At 39.9% G+C, this 23,017-nt stretch overlaps 1 protein-coding gene and 1 long non-coding RNA gene across 6 annotated transcripts in view, besides 3 other annotated features; one reads left to right on the top strand and one right to left on the bottom strand.

The window, feature by feature from the left end:
• The window catches only part of KIAA1958, a 182,571-nt gene extending 162,305 nt beyond the window's left edge, over positions 1–20,266 (bottom strand). For all 3 annotated transcript variants that reach the window (NM_001287036.2, NM_133465.4, NM_001287038.2), the window contains exon 1: positions 19,975–20,266. The gene's annotated coding sequence lies outside the window, so the exon portion shown is untranslated. The remainder of the gene's footprint in view (positions 1–19,974) is intronic.
• HSDL2-AS1 (HSDL2 antisense RNA 1) overlaps positions 19,449–23,017 on the top strand; it is a 35,847-nt gene continuing 32,278 nt past the window's right edge. For 2 of the 3 annotated variants that reach the window (NR_171777.1, NR_171778.1), the window contains exons 1-2: positions 20,402–20,703; positions 22,469–22,637. This is a non-coding gene — a long non-coding RNA (HSDL2 antisense RNA 1). Of the gene's footprint in view, positions 20,115–20,401; positions 20,704–22,468; positions 22,638–23,017 lie in introns of those variants that run through there. The other variant, NR_171779.1, reaches the window with a different exon arrangement.
• Positions 19,668–20,157: a silencer, noted in NCBI's record as "silent region_20193". NCBI's record gives its function as "represses an Ori minimal core promoter by ATAC-STARR-seq in GM12878 lymphoblastoid cells {active_cell/tissue: GM12878}" and the evidence as "EXISTENCE:reporter gene assay evidence [ECO:0000049][PMID:35858748]".
• Positions 20,238–20,297: a silencer, noted in NCBI's record as "silent region_20192". NCBI's record gives its function as "represses an Ori minimal core promoter by ATAC-STARR-seq in GM12878 lymphoblastoid cells {active_cell/tissue: GM12878}" and the evidence as "EXISTENCE:reporter gene assay evidence [ECO:0000049][PMID:35858748]".
• Positions 20,728–20,787: an enhancer, noted in NCBI's record as "active region_28825". NCBI's record gives its function as "activates an Ori minimal core promoter by ATAC-STARR-seq in GM12878 lymphoblastoid cells {active_cell/tissue: GM12878}" and the evidence as "EXISTENCE:reporter gene assay evidence [ECO:0000049][PMID:35858748]".

Below are 23,017 nucleotides of genomic sequence, written 5' to 3'. Positions count from 1 at the left end.
AATACTTCTAAAAGTCCTTAGCTTAACTATTAACTAAATCATAAATATTGAAGCACTTAAAAAATTTTTCTCAGAGGTCTAATGTAATGGCCTAGAAATATTCCAAGTGACCTTCAAGTTGAATTAAATACCACAATTGCTACAATAGCAATGACCACTGAGTATGTAAGTACCTGGGTCCTGTTATGAACTCACTACCAAAACTACCACACTTCTAGTTAAGCACAATCTCAGGTTCTATTCAGAATTAATGTGCCCACAGAAACCCTAAATCACAACCCATGATCCGGCAAAAAAAGGCAAAAACTTTCTAATAAAGCTAGTGTGGCAGAAACACTGCAGACTCTATCTGCATTTATCCAGCTGTGTTTACAAGAAAAAAAAAAAAGCAGTAGCTTGAGCAAGCAAAAACTTCTGAAATTTTAATACTAAAGAAAATAATATCAGCACTGCAAAAAGAGGCCATATTTTTCCCAGTAAAAAAAGTAACGGAACCTTGTGCAACCCCCAAGTACCCAGGTAGTCACAAACATGTATAAACACGTAACACATCAGGACACACTACACATATAAAATTATCCTTAATTACCATGAAGAAAAAACATTCTAACATTTGTTTTTTGTTTTGTTTTGTTTTGAAACAGAGTCTCGCTCTGTCACCCAGGCTAGAGTGTAGTGGCGTGATCTCGGCTCACTGCAAGCTCTGCCTCCCAGGTTCATGCCATTCTCCTGTCTCAGCCTCCCGAGAAGCTGGGACTACAGGCGCCCGCCAACACGCCCAGCTAATTTTTTGTATTTTTAGTAGAGACGGGGTTTCACCGTGTTAGCCAGAATGGTCTCGATCTCCTGACCTTGTGATCCGCCTGCTTCGGCCTCCCAAAGTGCTGGGATTACAGGTGTGAGCCACCGCGCCTGGCCTCTAACATTTGTTTTTACAAATTGCCACAGTACTCTATAAATTTCATTTTTCTCCATACTTCAGATTTTACCAAAAGCTTTACCCTATAGTTCAAAAATTACTTTATAGAAACACAATTTGTTCATTCTTAATTATATCCATTATATGAGTTCAGCGGTCTTCTGTCTCTTTGATACTAAGGGACACTCAAATGCTAGAATTTGGTGACACATTTCAAAGGAAAGGGATACATACGCATCGTTCTCTGTTTGATCCCCCCTCACTGCTGTTTGTCAGCTTAAGTCGAACTTTTTATTGCCCTGACCTATACACTCACAAAGCAAAGTTCCTGTCTGCTCCAGTAAACAAGCAATCTTTCCTACAGCTGCCTGGATCCCGTGCTTTGCCTTTCATCAGGCATCCTGTCCCACCTTTCATCACCTGACCACTCAGGCCATTTACCTAAATCACAGTATTTCTCTGAATGAAATGAAAGTAAACATCCTTTTCAACAAAATTTGATAACCATCTGTGAGGTGCTACAACAACATACAATTTGAAACCACTATGCTAATTAAAGTTATTAGTTTTAAAATGTTCTTAATAAATTACTACATTGCCTGCAAAGTCAAAATAGAGACATATAGACTTCACACCATACAATTCAAGGATTTGTTAAGCTTAATTTTCTTTGCTATCTAGCGTTCAAATATACTCTCTTCTAGATATTTAAGCCTCAGTAATAATATAACCTATGTGCCTGGCACTCTACTCACACGAATTTACCTAATCCTCACGACAACCCCATGGGCTATATACTTAGTATTATACTCATTTTATAAACGCGGAAACTAAAGCACTGAGAAGTTATGTACTAATAAGGGCCAGAAACAGGATTCAAAGCCAGGCAGTCTGAGTCCAAAGTCTAGTCTTAACCAGGGTGCTAGCCTAAAGAACTCATTATTGGAAGAATAAAATCAGGTCATTTTCAGTAACATGGATGAAACTGGAAGTCATTATCTTAAGTGAAATAAAGCCAGGCACAAAAAAACAAGTATCACATATTCTTATACATGGAAGCTAAAAAACTTGACCACATGGAGGTAGAGAATGGAAAGACAGATAACAGAGACTGGGAAAGTTGAGTGAGGGGACCAAGGGGAGGATGAAGATAACCGATTTAAAGGGTACACATAGAGTAAGATAGAAGGAATAAATTCAACGTTAGATGGCAGAGTAGGGTGACTATCTTCAACAAAAATGTATTGTACTCCAGCAATAGACATGCTAAATACCCTGACTTGATCACTACGCATTATACACATGTTAACAAAATTTTACATGTACCTCATAAATTTGTATAAATAAAAAATGTATATACATCTACACATATATACATATAGACACACATACATACATAAAAAACTTCATTATTGGCATCATATTTGCTATAGTGGTTTTGGCACTGAGAAAATTTGGACAAAACAGACTCAGATTTCATCATTTTCAAAGATTTTCTTGTCATAATCTTATCTTTATGATAAGATTAGGTAAATTATGAATCACAAAAATCACTCCAGTGCTGGATAACCTCAGATTAAATGGGGATGAAACATACAATGAAAGGAACTAGAAGCCAGAGTTCCTTCACTCCTCCAGATCATTTCCCCATCTGTAAAATAAGGGGATTAAAAATAGTTAATCTTGGCAGGGCATGGTGGCTCACGCCTGCAATTCCAGCACTTCGGGAGGCCGAGGCCGGTGGATCACTTGAGGTCAGGAATTCGAGACCCGCCTGGCCAACATGGCGAAATCCCGTCTCTACTCAAAATACAAAAATTAGCTGGGGGTAGTGTGGCACGCACCTGTAATTCCAGCTACTCGGGAGGCTGAGGCATGAGAATTGCTTAAGCCCAGGAGGTGGAGGTTGCCGTGAGCCGAGATCGCACCACTGCACTCCAGCCTGGGTGATTGAGTGAGACTCTGTCTCCAAAAAAAAAAAAAAAGATAATCTCTACAGTTCCTTCTGGTTCAAACCCTGAAAGATTAATACATAATTAAAAAACCAACAACTCCTTAGATGATTTAAGACACTGTTGCCCACCATCAATAAAGCCAGGTTACAATCAACTTGAGAAAGATCTAAAGTACTTGATTTCTAAGGTATTAAAAGACAGAAATATGCAAAATACTTCGTTTTTAATTATGCTTATTATAAAATATAGCCAAATTATAGAAAGCATGGCAAATATATATATATATATATATAATTTATAACCCCAGCACATTAACACTGTTAGCATTTTAGGGTATTTCCTTCCAATCTTTTCCTTATGCATAGCTTTGCATGACAGTCATGATCAGGGAAGGAGGGAAAATGGAAGGGAGAAAAATCATTCTATTTCCTACTTGAACAATTTTTAATAGGGATTTTTCATTTTGCCAGAAGGTTCTACATGATCTACCCTACCCACTACCACCAGCATTATCTGTCCAAACTCTTGCAACTCTTTTTCCTTGCAGCTCTCCCCTCCTTCACTCTAGCGGAGCCCTTGACCTTTTTTTTTTTTTTTTTTTTGAGACAGGGTCTCGCTCTGTTGCCCAGGCTGGAGTACAGTGGTATGAACACAGCTCATTGCAGCCTCAGCCTCCCTAGTAGCTGGGACTACAGGTATGCACGACCACACTTGGCTAATTTTTTTTATTTTTTGTAGAGAAGGAGTATTGTTTCCCAGCTGGTCTCAAACTTATGGGCTTAAGCAGTCCTCCCACCCCGGCCTGCCAAAGTGCTGGGATTAAAGGAGTGAGCCACCGCGACCAGCCAGCTCTTGAAATTCTTGTTCCTAGAACATATCAGGGCACATTTCCAACTGACCCTTTGTGCTTGCCGTTCCCTTTGCCTCAAATGCTCTTCCTCCAGATACCTGAATGTCAAGCCCTCTCATTCATTTTAAGTGCTTACTCAAAAGTCACTTTCTCTGTGAGATATTCCTTGGCAACCCTAATCTAAAATGTCAAGACCTTACCCTGAAATATTTCATATCCCCCTTTCCTGCTTTTTTTCTTCCTTCTTAGCACTTATCCCTTACATGTTATTTTACTTATTTATTTTGTTTCTTCTCTACCTCCACTACTAAAATTTAAGCTCTATGAGGGCAAGTACTTTGTTTTTACTGATTTCCTAGCATCTAGAAAAGTACCTAACACATGGTGAATACCCATTAGATATTTGTTGGTTAAACAGTCTCTATAATCATCATTGTAAATGGCTAGATCCAGTTTTATCAAGGATTTAGCCAATAATTCCCCTACTGATGGACATATCGGTCACTGCCAATCTTTTAGTATTCTAAATAATGCTCTAATGCAGGGGTCAGCAAACTTTTCCTGGAGTAAGTCAGATAGTAAATATTTTCTGCTTTGCAAGATCTCTATCGTAACTACTCAATTCTGCCAATGCAGCACAAAAGCAACCACAGACAACAAACGGTGTGGGGTTGCACCAGACAAAATTTAGACTGCTTCATTGAATGTTTTTGTGCATGTATCTCTATCTTTTCAATTAGAATTACTAGATAAATTGGTATAAATATATTTATGGCTCTTAATATATTGACACATTGCTTTTCAAAGTGATAATCATGGAAAGCAGGGCAACTGGAACATTTACACAGGGCTGGTGCCAGTGCAAGTATAAACTGATACAATTACTTTGGAGAACACATTAAAGCTCAGCATGACTTTAAACACATTAAACTCAGCATTTATGAGTTTTAAACACATTTAATGTTTAAAAACATTAAAGCTCAGCATTAAAGCATGGCATGAGCCATGACTCAGCAATCTGTCAGGATATTTATTTTGTTTCAGAAGAATTGTGTTAGATATACTGGGAGAAGCACAAGGAATAAATAATGTCTTGTTTATTATCTGAGTACTAGTCACATGTATTCAATTTGTAACAGTTAATCAACTATACATATTGATATGTTCATCTTTTGTAAGTATACTATACTTCAAAGTTTTATAAGAAAACAAAGATGTCATATTCCCATCAGCAATACATATGAGAATAACTTCCTCCCCTCCTCCTTTCTACTCACCAGAAATGGGTATTATTTCACTTCATACTTTTGCTAATTTGATAGTATTTAAAAAAAGCTTCTGGATTGCCATAGTATTTTGTGTGTGATTATCATGGAGGCTGAACATTTCTCTTCTATAAATTGCTCTACGTTTTATCTATTATTTATTAGGGTTTTATTATTTTTTTGTAAATTGTGAAAACAAAACAATACAATGTCACAAAGACATCAACTCTTTGTCTATCATATTGCTGCAAGTATTTTCTTTTTGTTTTTTCAAGAAAGAGTGATTTTTAGTAGGGTCTGCTCCATGTGAGCCCCCATGCTGGACCCACTAATGAACAGTTATTAGAAGTCATAGATGGGAGCTGGGGTCTAGCATTAGGGTTTCGAATCTTGGCTCTTCTGTGCAGTCTGCTGTGTGACCTCATGCCCTTCCCGTCTCTCTACGCCACAGTTTTCTCTGCCCGAAATGCTTGGCTACCAGCTCTGCAAGGTGTTGGCTCCTCTTTATTTTTTAAATCTGAAAGGGAAGATTTTCTTCTAAGACCAATTGAAGACTTGATTGAAAGAGGCCTTCCTTGTTATTCTCCATTGCAGCCCTGGTTGGCTGCCCTCTTGGCAGCGTTCTCACTTCTCAACTTGGTTTCATTTTGTTTTTTTTCAAGAGACAGGATCTCGCTTTGTTGCCGAGTCTAGAATGCAGCGGCGCCATTATAGCTCACCATGGCCTTGAACTCCTGGGCTCAAGTGATCCTTCCATTTCAGTCTCCCAAGCAGCTGGGACTACAGGCATGAGCCATCATGCCTGATTAATTTTCTCTTTTTTTTTTGTAAAGACAAGGGTCTTGCTTTGTTGCCCAGGCTGGTCTCAAACTCTTGATCTCAAACAATCCTCTCACCTCAGCCTCCCAAAGTGTGCTCCTTCCTTTTTAATCTCATTATTTTGTTGAAAAAAAAAAGTTTTTTGAGTTTGTTTGTTTTGGAGACAAGGTTTGGCACTGTCACCCAGACTGGAGTACAGTGGAATGATCACAGTTCACTGCAGCCTCAACCCTCCTAGGCTCAAGAGATCCTCCCACTTCAGCCTCCCACCTCAGCCTCCCAAGTAGCCAGGACCACAGGTGCATGCAACCATGCCGGGCTAATTTTTTTTTTTTTTGTAGCGATGGGGGTCTCCCTATGTGGCCCAGGCTGATCTTGAAATTCCTGGGATCAAGCAATCCTCCTGCCTCAGCCTTCCAAAATACTGGGATTACAGGTATGAACCACCGAACCCAACCAAGTTTAAACTTTCACATGGCCAAACCAACTAACCTTTTTATCAGTGCGTCGTTTTTCTCAAAAATATTATACAGAACTACATTCTTTTATATTCAATAAGAATATTGTTTATTATGTAATGTGCAAGGACTTGTTTATTTCTCAGGCCAACAGTATGTTCTTAGATGACTAAATAAAGTAACTATAAAATATCTATTTGATGATTAACAGGAAAGCATCAAATAAAAATGATACTAGGCTGACCACGGTGGCTCATGCCTATAATCCCAGCACTTTGGGAGGCCAAGGCAGGAGGATTGCTCAAGCCCAGGTGTTCGAGACCAGCCTGGGCAACATAGTGACACCTTATCTCTAAAAAAAAAAAAAAAAATTAATGATATTAAGGTTAATCAATAGGATAAATTTTGACACCAAAACTAATTTGTAAAGCCAGGCGTGGTGTTTTGCCTGTAATCCCAGCACTTTGGGAGGCCAAGGCGGGCAGATCACTTGAAGTCAGGAGTTCGAGACCAGCCTGGCCAACATGGCGAAACCCCATCTCTACTAAAAATTCAAAAATTAGCTGGGCATGGTGGCACACACCTGTAATCCCAGCTACTCGGGAGGCTGAGGCACAAGAATCGCTGGAACCAGGAGGTGAAGGTTGCAGTGAGCTGAGTTCGCACCACTGCACTCCAGGCTCGGCGACAGAGCGAGACACTGTCTCAAAAATAATAATAATAATAATTTTAATAGGAAAACCCCTAAACTTCTGAGGCAATCACTTCATTAATGGAAAGTGCAGATTTTATACCTTAACCCAGTATATAAACATATCATTAGAAAAATGTAGATAGGAGGCCGGGCGCAGTGGCTCACGCCTGTAATCCCAACATTTTGGGAGGCCGAGGTGGGTGGATCACGAGGTCAGGAGATAGAGACCATCCTGGCTAACACGGTGAAACCCCATCTCTACTAAATATACAAAAAATTAGCCGGGCGTGGTGGTGGGCGCCTGTAGTCCCAGCTACTCGGGAGGCTGAGGCAGGAGAATGGCACGAACCTGGGAGGCGGAGCTTGCAGTAAGCTGAGATCACACCACTGCACTCTAGCCTGGATGACAGAGCGAAACTCTGTCTCAAAAAAAAAAAAAAAAAAGAAAAAAATGTAGATAGGAAATATAGTTTGTGTTAAGACTTTTATCTACCAGAAAGCAGTTGGCCAAAAAACAATGTAAAACTATATACATATCAAGAAGATATTCATATTCCAAATATACTCATAAGCAAAATATTATCATAGGCAGAATATTATGAATATATGCTTTTCAATGAATATATTCATACTCATTAACAAAATTCAAAAGGAAAATATTTCTAAGACTACATTATCATATGACCCACAACTTTTAAAGCAGAACATTCCTTAAAATGCTGTGAAGGTAGAATGGGAGCACCTTCAGCTAAAATTTCATGGAAATCTTCAAAGGCTATTTATTATAGAAAACCATATAGAAGATTCTCAAAAAACTAAAAACAGAACTACAATACTAATCCAGCAATCCCACTGCTGAGTATTTATCCAAAGAAAAGAAAACCAGTGTATCAAAGAAATCAGTGTATCAAAGAGATTATCTCCACCACCATGTTTATTGTAGTACTTTCACAATAGCCAAGACATGTAATCAAACCAAATGTCCATCAACCGATGCATGGATAAAGAAAATGTGGTGTATATACACAATGGAATACTATTTATCCATAAAAAGGAAAGAAATCCCACCATTTGCCACAACATGGATAAGCCTGGAGGACATCATGCTAAGCAAAATAAGTCAGGCACAGAAAAATAAATGCCACATGTTCTCACTCATATGTAGGAGATAAATTTTTGAGCTCATGGAAGTAGAGAGTAGAACTGTGTGTGTTAGAGGCTGGGAAGAGTAAAGGGAGAGGGATGGATAGAGGTTAGTCAACAGATACAAAATTACAGCTAGATAGGAATGAGCTCTGGTATTCTGCAGTACTGTAGGATGAATATGGTTAACTATTATTTATTGCATATTTTCAAAAGGCCAGAAGAGAGGATTTTGAATGTTCCCAACACAAGGATGGGTGTCCTAATTACCCTGATTTGATCATTATACGTTGTATACACATATTGAAATATTACTCTGTATCCCAAAAACACGTAGAATCATTCCATCTCAACTAAAAATAAAAGGGGGAAAAATCACTCCACTCTACACATAAGATTATGCATTTTATGGAAGTTATATCAACATAAAAAAACTTTAAAAGAATCTTCAAAGGCTGTTTAAACAAGATTTTGGTAAAGCCGTGAATTTTATGGATTTTAAGTTGGGTTGATTGATCCTTCCTTGAATTGGCTGTAGTAAACTGGTCTAAATTTATTGTAAAACTTCAGAGCTGAAAAACTTAAGCAAATTTTCCAGGGAGGGAAAAGAAAAATCTTGAAAATTTCTCCATATCTGCTTGGGTTCATCCAGATGCTAGAAAAGGATTCCTTTGGTAGGTTTCTAAAAACAACTGAACCGCCACCTTTCCTTAAGCTATGTTTAAAGAACATCTTCACTAAAAATGATTTTAATCTTAAGTTTTCTCCAGGAGATAAACTTTAGTTATATGGTAAATTCACTAATGTAGAACTCCTTGTTTTCAGAAGATGTCAGATAAACAAAGTCAATAACTGTGCCAGAACTGTCATGAAAATGTTAACAACCTTAGTCACTTAGAGAAGAATTAAACTCCCTGCAACAAATATATGTTGGCTTATCACTATAAATCAGATACACTGGAAAAGCTATTACTAATCAGATTATTGCATATCTTACTCTTTCTTGCCTAATGAGGTATTTGTCCCCTTTGATCAATAGGGAAAATAAGTCTTCTAACATAACAACAACAACAAAAAAACTACTTAAAAATAAATAAAGGACTCCTAAGCAAGCAAGACAATAGATGCTGAGTTTTGGACTCTCCTCAAATCTAATCATACAAATATGTTAGAAATGGTTGGGGGAGCAGTGGAGAGGCTGGTAGAAACAGAAACCTAAAAAGGTGATAAAACTGTATTGAACCTCCCCAAGTTTGCATTTTCAACATTAAAGTTTACTTTTTAATTAAGTTTTAAATTGGAGAATTAAAAAAAAAACTGTATTGAACCTAGCACATACACAAGTGAGTACCACTGAAACTGGAAATCTGAATAAGAGTGGTGGATTTTATCAATGTCAGTGGATTCATTTGCTAGGGCTGCCATAATAAAATACTACAGACTGGGTGCCTGAAACAACAGAAGTTTATTTTCTGACAATTCTGGAGGCTAGAATTCTAAGATCAAAGTGTTGGCAGGCTTGGTTTCTTTCGAAGCCTCTCTCCTTGGCTTGCAGATGGCCTCCTCCTTGCTGTTTCCTTCACAGAGTTTTTTCCCCTATGTGCATGTCCCTAATGTCTCTTTTTGTGTCCACATTTCCTCTTATAAGGACACCAGACTGGATTATATTAGGGCCCACTCCAACAATCTTATCCTAACTTAATCACCTTTTTAAATGCCCTAGCTTCTAAATACAGTTACATTAAGGTACTGGAGGGTTGGGGCTTCAACATATGAATTTGCAGGGACACTACTCAGCCCATAAATAGTCAATATCCTGGTTGTAATATTATAAATATAATTTTGCAATATGTTACCACTGGGGAAAGCTGAGCAAAGCATGCAAAGAACCTCTCTGTATTATATCTTACAACTGTAAGTGAATCTACAATTATCTGCACAGGAAAAATAAAAACACCCAGAGATGGGAGGATAACAAAATAGGTGGACAATAACAAAAGACAAAATATTCAACAATATCAGGTGATAGGACAGTCCTATGGACAACAGATAAGTAGGCAGGGCTAAAATGCCCAAAAAACAGAACCTACACAGAATAAGCAACTGGTCAGATGAAGGGAGAAAAAAGAGAGTTCTGGTGATTCTAAGAGCTGGGAAAGAAGAAATTACCATCAAAAAGAGAGGATCTTTTTTAAGTGAAATTGTATCTAAGAACAACCAGTAAAGTTTCTGAGCTTCTGGGGGAGAACGCGAGACCACAAGAACCTAAGAGGCTTTAGGAAGAACACCGTGGACTAGAATCCAAATCAAACAAAGAGGCAGGAGTGGGAATAAAGGAAAGAGATACCCAGAGGAGGTTAATCTCAGAGAACATCAGAGAGGAGGTCACATCAAGAAGCCACATTTTTTCCTTTATGTTGAAACATACACTCGGAAAAAGGCAGCAATAAGTGAACTTGCTGATATTTCACAATTTCACAAACAGAACCCACTTATGTAACCAGCAACCAGTTCAAGAAACAGAAACTTTCCAGCAGCCCAGAAGCCTCTACTTTCTCTATTCTCATCAATACTCTCCCAAGGGTAGCCCCTATTCTGGCTTCTAACAGAACAGAATGATTCTGCCTGTTTGAGGACTTTCTATACATGCAGGCATACAGTATAAACTCTGCTCTGTCTGGCTTCTTTAGCTCAACATATGTCTGTGAGATTCATACATACTACTGCATGCAGCTGTAGACTGTTTATCATTCTCATCGATCTACAGTATTCCATTGTGTAAATATACCATGATGTATTTATTCAATCTGAGTCAGTTTAATATTGCTGTATAACAAATCACCTAAAAATTTAGTGGCTTAAAACAACAATTTCTTATTTCTCACAATTCTATGTTTTCTGGGTAGTTCCTCCTCTGGCTTTACCTGGACTTGTTCACATGGCTACTTTTAGCTGGAAGGAAGGTCAGCTAAACTATAAGGTCAAAGATGGCCTCACTCAAGTTTGTCAGTAAGTACTGGTCATTGGCTGGGCACCACGATTCTCTTCCAAGTAACCTCTCCTACTCCAGGACGTCCTTATATAGTGGTCTCAGGGCATTATTCCCCAGAGTATGTAAGCGCTTATCAAGCTTCTGTTGCATAATGCTTGCTAATGTCCAACTAGCCAGAGCAAGTTACAAAGCCAAAGTCAGACTCACTGCGGAAGGGAACAACAATGACTGATGGCCATTTCAACAGATTTCAGTTTGGAGCAATGACAAATGTGCTATGAGCATTCTAGTCCATATATTTGGGTGAGTATGGATCTTACAGTAGAACTAATGAGTCACAGGATTTGCAGCATATGTCCAGTTTTAGTAGATATGGCCATACAGCTTTCCAAATTGCTGTACCACTTTACATTTCCATTCCAATTTACACTTTGAATAGCAGTGCAGGAGAATTTCAGCTATCCTACATCCTCATACTTGGTATTTTTCATCTTTCTCATTTAGCCATTCTAGTGAGTGTACAATGGTACCTCATTTTTATTTTAATTGAGTGGCCATATTTTTAAAATACTTCAGATAAGCAACAAAGGAGGAAATCTTCAAACTATAAAACCAGGAAAACTGTATTTATCAATTTCCATCTCCATCACAGAAACCTTCTCCAAAAGTACAGGTAAGTCCATCTAATTTAAATATGACCAAGAGAGAACAATTAAAAAGCACAGTAAGAAAAAAAGATGAGAACTGTAACATATTTCAAAAGGAATAAGAGGAATTAAGAAAATAGCCAGGCACAGTGCCTCATGCCTGTAATCTCAGCACTTTGGGAGACCAAGGCAGGAGGATCACAAGCCCAAGAATTCAAGACCAGCCTGGGCAACAAAGTGAAACCTGTCTTTAAAAAAAAAAAATTCAGCTGGTAGTGGTGGCACACATCCACAGTCCTAGCTACTTGGGAAGCTGAGGTGGGTGAATCCCTTGAGCCTTGAATGACAGAGAAAGGCCCTGTCTCAAAAAGAAAAAAAAATGAAAAAAGGGGAAAAAATTTTTAAATGATAGAAGCTATGGAAGAACAGCATACATCAGAAATTGAAAAACTAAAAAATGAATCTTGCCAGATAACAAGAGGATGTACAATAAGAAATGACAAAGTTCATGACAGAACAGGAAAGAAAAAACTCAGAAAGGAAGTGAAAACTAAAAAGAACACTAAACTTAATAGATAGGTACCACCAGATACGGTGGCTCACACCTGTAATCCCAGCACTTTGGGAGGCTGAGGCAGGTGGATCATTTGAGCCCATGAGTTTGAGACCAGCCTGGGTGACATGGTGAAACCCTGTCTCTACAAAAAACACAAAAATTAGTAGGGCATGGTGATGCACATCTGTAGTCCCAGCTACTTGGGGCTAAACTGGGAGGATCACCTGAGGCCAGAGACGTTGACACTGCTGTAAACCATGATGGTGCCACTGCATTCCAGCCTGGGTGACAGAGACTGTCAAAAAAAAAAAGCGATAGATACCATGAAAAATACATTGAACACACTAAAGCATAAAATAGAAAAAAACATAAAAATAGAGCAAATATAAAAAATAAGAAAAAATAATACTAAGGTATAGACATAAGAAGATCCAACATACATATAATAGGAGGCCCCAAAGAGAGAAAATGAAAACAATGGAACACATTACTAAAAAACTATAATTGATGAAAATATGAAAAAACACTTGAGCCAATGTAATAAAAAACACTGTGTATCTAGGAGAATTAACAGGGAATGGTCAACAGACATTCTAGTAAAATTATTGGCTTTAAATATGAAGAAAAAGCCCTTGGGTATCTAGGCAAAAAGATAAAATTAAAGAAAGAAAATCATATTGGTATTACAGTTTGACAACAACACATTTTACCAGAATAGAATATGACTCAGCAAACTAAGGCCTATGGACCAAATCCAGCCCACTGCCTGGTTCTGTAAATTAAGTTTTATTGGAACAGTCAGGCTAGTTCATTTACACACTATCTATAGCTGCTTTTGCAATGCAATGGCACAGTTAAGTAATTGTGAGGGAAACCAGTGATCCATAAAACCTAAGATAATTATTATTCAGTCTTTTACAGAAAAAGTTTGCCAACTCCTGCAAGAGAGTAACATTTTTAAAGATAGTTGAGGGGAAAAAAAATGTGAGTCAAGTATTTTTATTCAGTCAAAGTGACCTTGAACTATAAAAGCCACAGATAAACAGTGTTAAATATGAAAAGCAAGGGATACATTTCACATGAGCCACTACAAGAATTCAATGAACTTCAGACTACTAGATGATTACAGAAGCTTTACCGTAAGGACTTCTGTTGCACACTGAATATATTTAAATGAAAAACTAAGACTAATGCAAAGGTAACACAGTAGCATATGATTCACATATGGCAAACAGACAGAATTGAGAAATCTTGGGCAGCAAGAACTGACTGACCCAGGGGCTTGATTATGTATGGAAAATGGGATTAAGAATAAAGAAGGAATCAGAGATAACTCCTAAATTTCTGGACTGGGAAAATGGATGGAAGGTGGTACCAACTCACTGAGCTAAGGAATAAAAGAAAAGACACAGATGTGAAGAGGACAATAAGTCTGGGGCATGTTGAATGTGAAATGCTTGTGGAAAATTAAGTGAATATATCCAGTCGTAGTAGGACACAAAGATGTGGATTTCAGGAGAAAAGCCCCGACTAGATATTAGATTCAGGAATCATCAGACATGCGTGAAAAGAACAAATAGTGCATAACTTACCATGAGAGCAGCAAGACCAATAGCTGAAAAAAAAAAAGCACTAAAAGAAACAAGTCCTCAGAACTCAGAAGAAAATAACAGCATTAGCACTTCCACTGAATTTGGCCACAATAATATTCTCCAGTATTCCAAAACAACTATTAAGAATTTTGGCCAGGCACAGTGGCTCAGGCCTGTAATCCCAGCACTTTGGGAGGCCCAGATAGGAGGATATCATGAGCCCAGGAGTTCAAGACCAATCTGGGACACACAGGCCTCATCTCTACAAAAAAAAAAAAAAAAAAAAGTGAGCTGGGCTCTGGGTGTGCACCTGTGATCCCAGCTACTCAGAAGGCTGAGGTGAGAGGACTGCTTGAGCTCAGGAGGTCGAGGCTGCAGTGAGCTGTGATCACGTTAGTGCGCTCCATCCTGGGCAACAGAAAAAGATCCTGTCTCAAACAAACAAAAAAAGGATTTTGTACTTTAAGTCATTAAAAATAAAGCATTTAAAAACAATGAATATGAAGAGTGAAAAACAAAAAGCCTTTAGCTACTTTATTTTTAATGACTATATATAGAGTTGATCATATTGCTATGTATTGGGGCCTGGGATTCAAGTGAAAAATTGCCAACAAAATCCCACATGTGGAGTGAGGTATGTATGTACATATGTAGGTAGGTAGGTATACATGCATGAAAGGCAGTAGGTAGAGGGATGGACTGTGTTATAGGCTGAACTGTATTCCTCTCAAATTCATCTGTTCACATCCTAAACCCTGGTACCTCAGAATGTGACTTATAGGGGAAGTAAGGCCTGGAATAGAGGTAATTAAGGTAAAATGAAGTCATATGTGTGTGCCCTAATCCAATGTAAGTGATGTTCTTAAGAGGAAATTAGGACACACACATACACAGAGGGAAGACCAAGTGAAGCCACCTTAGGAAGACAGCCATCCATCAGCCAAGAGAGGGGCCTTAGAAGAACCTAACCCTGCCAACACTTTGAGCTTATACTTCTAGCCTCCAGAATTGTCAGAAAATAAATTTTTGTTGTTTAAGACAACCAATCTGTGATTCTTTGTTATGGCAGCCCTAACAAATTAATACAAGCTGAGAAGAGGAAGTAGTCCTAGCTGGTTAAGAATTCACACATATTGTCAACTCCGTCCCAGAAATATGAAGTCCTATAACAGAAAAAAGGATAGAGCTTTTGATATATGGTGATTATGCCTTAAATCATGCAAGGAAAATATTTTTAAAATAATAAGTATTTCCAGAGGAAAATATAAGAAAAAACTGAAGGGACAGAATATTTGCAATTAAAAAAGGACAGAAAAGGTTAAAGCAGTATCAGTTTTGAAGAAAACCAAGAATAAAAAGAGAAGCCAACCAAGAAGTATCCTATGCATGAAATGAAAGTTAACCAAAGAGTAAATGAATCATCTAAAAACAATCCAGAGAAGCAAGGGAAAGCAATGGAAGCAACTTTGGATAATTATTTAGAATTAAAAAGAGTTATGTGTATGTTAAGTTCAGCTAATGAAATCCTTGATGATTAACAAACAAAAAACATTTTCAGGCATCAAGTGAAAATATATTTCCAGTAGGTTTTAATGGAATTTTGGTTCTTTGCAGGTTTCTTAAGGAAAAAAAAAACAAAAAAAACAAAAAAAAAAACCAGCTAATAATTACTAGCCATTCCATACATATTACTTTTTGTCCTATCTCTGGAGCTAAAGAGGCCATAGATTTCCAGAGGAGAGTAAGGTGAAGGAGAAAGCTATTCTCTAACTTGCAGCAACCAAGGGGGGAGCTACTCCCTGGTGCTAGGTTGGCCAAAGTTCATGCAGAGAAGAAAAAAAGCTAGAGTAGAAATTCAGCATTTTATGGTAAGATTTTTAATGTTTTTAAATATTGCTTCAACGTTTTAACGTCTTCTTAAACTTTTTTAAAGTTATGGCTGGACGTGGTGGTTCACACCTATAATCCTAGCACTTTGGGAGGCCAAGGCAGGAAGATCATTTGAGTCCAGGAGTTCAAGACCAGCCTGGGCAACACCGCAAGACCCCATCGCTACAAAAAATAAGAAAAATTAGCTAAGTGTGATGGCACGTGCCTGTAGTCCCAGCTACTTGGGAGGTTGAGATGTGATCCTTTGGGCCCAGGAGTTTGAAGAGGCAGTAAGCTATGGTTGCACCACTGTATTCCAGCGTGGGTGACAGAGTGCGACTGTGTCTCTAAAAAACATAATGTTATATCTCACATCAAAGTTGTATAATTTCTTTTGATACATAATGTTACTTCCTTTCAGTATAAGAATATCACTGTTGTCCTAGACCAAGATTCTTTGCTTTCCATATTATTTTCAAGTGTAATAACATGTTTCTGAAATACATCTTCTTTGTCACTAGAGCCATTAGCATTACCACTATGAACACTAACGGTGAAAAAGCTCTCCAACTGTTTAAGTGTAAGACTTTGCAAAACAAACTTGAATACGGCTGCATAATTTGCCTTTCTCCAGAAAAGCCTATTAAACTTTGTTGGCATTGGATACAAAATAAAATTCAAAAATTTGCATTTTCAGTACTTTTCGTTTCTTGACCTTTATTTGAATTTGAGACTAAGCTTTACCAAACAACAGAATTTACACAGTAACTAGCCAACCACAGTCCTCATTATGGAATCTATGCAGTGCATTTGTTACCTAGGAAACGGACCAGAGCACAGGCAGAGTGCAATTTCAGTCTAGCAAAAGAATTCTCCAATCATGCTAGTAAATAAAGTCCATAAATCAACTAATCAGAAGCAAAGTCAAGAAGTATCACGTAAGAGTTAAGCTCAATGGAAACTTTTTTTAAAGGAAAAAAAGAAACCTGTGGGGCTTCCTCAGGCAACTATGTAGATCTCTTAAGTAAATATTATGAGCAGGTTTCTTTACAAACACAAACTGTCAGAAAATAAACTGTTCAAAATAAATGGCTTCTCTCCAATCTTCAGCTTCTCTATTTTTGACAGTACTTAAGAGAAAAAGCTTCTTTAGAGCCAGCCTCATACATCTGGTACCAGAATATTAATCCAAGAATGAAATCTGCATTTTCAGCAAGCAGCATGGTGTTGGTGCTGTTGTTAAACAATGCAGGATGATGATAAAAGCTGGAATGAGAGGTCACTGTCCACACCTCTCACAGCCGGACCTGCTTCCCCACCAGGCTACAAAAAAATGTCAAAAAGAAAGACTTGAAAGTCACAGATCTATTACAAAGAATAAAATTGTTACTTTTCAGCTTTCCATTTATTGCTAATGAAAACACTAGTCATTTGAGCATTCCAGTTAACATAAAGTGGCCATTTTAGGCTTCTTGTAATGATACTACATTGATAACCAATAAACAGGAAAATGCTAGAAAAGTCCATGGATTTTAAAGCCTATCAAATTTAACTGTGGACGGCTTAATGTTGTTTTAAAAAGAGAAGGTGGTAAATGTCAGCTATATTTAAAAATCCAGTTTTACACAAATTCAAATTTTCTGGAAGCAGCACTTATTTGTCAAAATAAATGAAAAAAATTTCAAACATGAAAAATGAAAAATAATTTATATGCTTTCCTCAACACCAACTTACCAGAAAGGAAATCAGCTGAAAATATGTAAGGTTCTCTGGAATGCTTCTGATCACACTAAAATATTATTGCTAATTACACAAAAAACAAAAAATTCTTATCTACCTATCAGTCAAAAAAAAAAAAACACAAAAACATAAACAAAACTAGGTGTTATCTTTCAGCCAGCCCACATAAAGACTACATTGATGATCTCAGAAAACAGGCACAACTACAACTTTGCCAAAACAATTCTCAGTACAGGCCACACTCGATGCTTAGCTACACAGTGACTCTTTGTTAAATCTTATCACTACCACTGACAGCCTTGTAAATATATAAACAAGCAATTCAATCGTTAGCTTATCTTTTTTAAATATTTTAAAGAGCTAAGGAAGAGTACGTATATCTAAGTGCTGAAATTCTGAGAGTGGTCTAGAACTCCATTCCTGGATTCACGATAAAGCCTGATCAAATTTCAATACCTCTTCTCTTTGGGCTATTACTAGGAATGGAGAGGGACAAGGAACGCTAGTCAAGGGCCTACCAGAGCCACATACTGAGCTGTGCTTCTGTGCAGAATTTAAATTCATTTACCTAATGCAGACTGGAAGTCAAAGCAGAAACTAGTAAAATTTTATCAACTAAAAAGGATTGGCTTGATCACTGCTAGGTTTTAAGTAATGTGTGTACAAATCTACGCTCCAGGCATTTACAAAATTAGGCATGCAATAATATTAATCTGTTTAACTGGGACAAGAATCTAGATAAATTTTTCTCCTAGAAAAAAGCACTATTTTAAGCATACTAAACTTTTTATAATGACAAAAATCAGTTTGTCTTTAAAAAAGTGCATTAAATTGTACACTGTTTACTAATTTTCAAACCTTAATGAAAATTTAAATACATAATTTTCCACGTTTTTCCTTCAAGTTTAGATGATAATGCTTTTTGTTTTTTTAGGAAAACCTCTATTTTTTACATATGACTGTCCATATAATTGTATGCATGGCCCCCAAAACTGCTTCTTCGTTTTTTTAATCTCCTGGGTAACTGTCAGACTTAACTTTGTCAATATAAATTCTCACAGGGTGGGCAAAAAAGAGTTTCCAGAACGGAGCAGTAGATTGAGATTGATACAGGCATAAATCCATACCTGCGTATTAAAAATCTGAATCTGTAAAATTAATTTTCTGGGTGCTTATTCAACCTCATTTATTATTTGAGTATCTACAATACACAGCAACCGTTCATGAAGAAACTTAGCTAGCTAATCAAATAAGACAATTCAGAAACATCACCCTACAGTATTTTTCAAAACACTGTATCCATATCCATGCACAACCCAATCGTTGGGTTATATACGTGGAATAAAATAGTAAAGGCACAATCCTAGAGGGGAAACTCAATTCTGACATTCATGGTCTCATGGGTAGGGAAAGATCTCATATCTTAAATCAGCAGAAATAAAGGCTTCAGCCTGAAGGGAAAGCTAGATCATTGTTTATTGCACTCCAATTTAACCTCCACCATGGAAGCTGTCACTACCTGACTGGCTTGTTAGCTGTTTATTTCGTCGGGAGAGGATTCCGTCTTGCGAATCCTAACGAGTTCGGGAAAAAACAAAACTTTACTCCTAAACTTCAAAACACACACACACACACACACACACACACGCACACACACTAAATACATATAATTGTAAAAATCACAGCCACGTTCATTTTTTTTAAAGTCCCAATCTAAAACCTTAAAGAAAAAAAAAGACTTGAAGGAACCAAAAACATTCTTTGATTTTGGTTTGACGTTGTTCAGTCCAACCTCCTCCTACCCAGGGGAATACATTTCTCGATATATTTGATAACAAACACAAATCACTGTGCGCAGCCTCAGATGGGGGTGGGGGGGCGGAAGAGCCTTTTGGAGAAAGCCCTCCTCCGTTAGAAACAATAAATAAGGGAGCGAAGCCATGCACGTTCCTTCACACACGCCCCAAACGCACCTCGGCGAGCCACCCGAGGAGGAAAACTAGTGGGGCAGAGCCCTGAACCACCTCTCTTTCTCCATAAGCATCTCAAGACTTGGAAACTAAGAGGACAGACCTTTTCCTCCTCCTTCCCGCCCTCCTTCCCACCTCCGACAGACCCAAGAGCAGGAGCGGGGGCGCCAGCCCCACGCACTGCGCCTGCAGCCGCCGCTGAGACCCGAGCTGCCGGGCGGCGGGGCGGCCCGGGGCAGGCGGACCGGAGCCGCCACCGGGGGTCTCTGCGCCTCGCACCCCCAAGCCCGGCGCTGCCGACGAGCGGCCGCCCGGGTCCCTGCCCTCGCTCCGGCCTCGCTCCCCCGAGAGGAGACAAAAGGAAGGTTCAGCCGGGTCACCGCGCGGCCGCTGACGGGGAAGCAGAGTCGACCCCGGCGCGGCCGCCCCCCACACAAAGGGGCTCCCCGCCTGGGTCGCGGCGTCGGCGCACTCGTCCCCGCCCCGCGCGCGGGCTCTCACCCACCTGCAGGTGTCTGTGCGTCTGTCCATAGGAACGCGGTCGGCGCGGGGGGGCCTGCGAGAGCCGGGCAGCCCGGGCTGGACGGGACGGGCCGAAGGGGCGCGAGGGCGGGAGGAGAGCGGCCAGAGGGCCGGGCACCAAAGGTAAGTGGAGCGGGGAAGGCGCCCGGCGGGCGGCGGACCGAGGAGCGGGGCGGGGGGCGGGGGCGCCAGCCTGGCTCGGCCGACCGCCGCGCGCCGCTCCGTGCGCCCCGAGCTCCGCGCGCCCGGCTCGGAGCGCGGCGGGCGGGCAGGGGGCGGGGCGCGGGCGGGCCGGGGCGGGGCCGGCGAGCGGGGCGGGGGCTCGGACCCCGGGCTCCAGCCGGCACCGGAAACGCGCCGTGGTCGGCGAGACCCACAGGAAGTGTGTAACGACACCTCCTACGGCACGCACCGAGCTCGCAGTCGTTGCTGCCCCGAGGAGGTGTAGATCGAGCCTCCTGCCGCACACACGTTCGCACGCGGCGGCCGGCGCGCTGGACCGAGAGGTTGGAGCAATCCATCCTCCGCGCGCACGAGCTCAGTCCCTACTGCCCCGACAGGTGTGGAACCCGCCGTCCCCGCTATGGTCCGAGGAAGTGTACAGCACTGCTCCCTACTACACGTCCTGGGCCCGCGGTCCCCGATGCCCCCCGGAGCTCTGTGCACCTCCACTGAAACGCAAGGAGCAGACAGAACCTACACCATCCGTGAGGTGTGTGATTTCCCTTATAACGCATTGAGTAGAGTTACCTCTCCGCCCAGGGATGTGCATTAACACTTTCTACCGAGATACTACGTACAGCCCATAGTCACCGCTGCCCCGTGAAGGTGCCCAACAACCACCTGTAACACACACACCCCTATCCCATCGAGGGAGCGGGGATGCTTAATGATACCTAAAATACACTAAAACTAGGTCCTCCAGCAAACCAGAGACACAAGAACACCACCTACACGACTCAGCACAGCAAAGATGAAGCTGGACTTGCTAGGTGCTACCAGGCTTGGTCCACCTTTATTTTACCTAACACTTTCGTAGTACTTGCTGTGTGCCCACAGTTTGCACTGAGTACTTAGCGAATATTAATTTATTTAATCCTAAGAACTCTACATAGTGGGTGCTATTAACATTGCCATTTTATGATAAGGAAACTGAGGCACAGAGAAATTAAGAAATTTTTTCAACATCACATAGATAGTAGCTAGAGGAGCCTGGATTCATTCCGGACAGTCTGGCTTCAGAGTCTGCTCTTAACTCCCTTTCTATTTACAGCACTGACCATCTCCAAAACAGTAATCATGGTAATAAATAACATTTACACCATATCTGTCAGGCCTTACGTAGTGCCCACATCTTGGCCTCACCTCATCTGTGACAGGCATACCCCAGTCACTTGTACCCTTGGAGTAGGTAAGGGAAGAGAAGAATATTTTTGAGGGAGAGAAAGAAGCTAACTTCTTAGCAAAGGAGAAAATATCCAGGGTCGTCCAGAATCCAAGCAGGTAACTTCATTACCACATCAAGCATGTTCTCTTTTAGGTAGCTTCTGCCAACCCCTCTCCATCTCTAGAGCTGATTCCGGTTGATGTTCTTAACACCTTCCTCTATCAACACTCTTCCAGGTCTAGGCTGAAATTTAAAATCTGTGTAAATGTTGACACAATAATGTTTGTACAAACAAAAAAGACCAAAAATGAAAACCCCCTAGTTAATTGCTGCATATTCTAAAGATGGGATCTTGTGGAGAAATTGGAACTCTTATGCAATGCTGATAGGAATGTAGATGGTACCACCACTATGCAAAACAGTGGGGAAGTTCCTCAAAAAACTAAAACTAGAGCTACCATATGATCCAGCAATCCCACTTCTGGGTAAATATCCAAAAGAATTGAAAGCAGGATATCGAAGAGATATTTGCACATTCATGTTCATTGCAGCACTATTCACAATAGCCAAGAGGTTGAAGCAGCCCAAATGTTCATCAACAGATGAAGAGATGAATGAAAATGTGATATATACATATAATGGAATATTATTCAGCCTTAAAAAGGAAGGAAATCTTATCACAGGCTACAACATAGATGAACCTTGAGGATGTTGTGCCAAGTGCAATAAACCAGTCACAAAAGGACAAATACTGTTATGATTTGACCTATATGAACTATGTAGAGGTATGTAAACTGTGGGATTATGTCAAACTTGTGGAAACAAGACGGTAGAATAGTGGTTGCTAGAGGGTAGAGGGAGGGGAAAATGGTGATATAATGTTTACTGGGTACAGAGTTTCAATTTTGCAAGATGAAAAATTTCTAGAGATGTTACACAATAATGTAAATATAACACCACCGAACTGTACACTTAAAAGTAGTTACAAAGGTAAATTTTAAATTGTTTTTGCCACAATCAACTTCAAAACAAATCTAATTTTATTTGTTTAAAGGATATTTCACTACAATGAATTTTTTTAATGATGCAGGCATCCAACCATGATGAGGTACCTTGTTGAACAAACTAACTCTGCCACTGAGAACGATGAAAGCTGTTTAAAAAAATAAATAAGTCTGTTTAAAACAATTGGAGAGCAACCCTGTCATCCAAGGCTTGAGAGTCCACGAGCCCCCCAGGAAGAAGAGAAATACTCTGAAGTGAGTCCTGCATTCTCAGCCGCTTTTCCTTCTCAGGGCATTGTTGATTTGTGTCTAGGAGTGTAGAAGTCAGAAAGAAGCACCCTAGAGCTTACCGGCAGTCTTACTGGCCTGGAGATACAAAATTTGGAGTCAGGTCTATTAAGGCAGCTAGGACTTGAAAAACGAAGATCCTAGAGAAAGCAATCACAGTAAACCTAGTGGGTTGGCTGAGGGCCATAATCCCGGCACTTTGGGAGGGTGCGGCAGGAGGATTGCTTGAGGCCAGGAGTTTGAGACCACCTTGGGTAGCATAGTGAGACCCTCGTCTCTACAAAAAGAAAAAAAAATTAGCTGGGCATGGTGGCCCACATCTCTAGTTCCAGCTACTCAGGAGGAGT

This window comes from Homo sapiens, chromosome 9, assembly GCF_000001405.40.
Source record: "Homo sapiens chromosome 9, GRCh38.p14 Primary Assembly".
NCBI classification, from domain to species: domain Eukaryota; kingdom Metazoa; phylum Chordata; class Mammalia; order Primates; family Hominidae; genus Homo; species Homo sapiens.
This window is presented reverse-complemented; position numbering and strand designations above follow the sequence as displayed.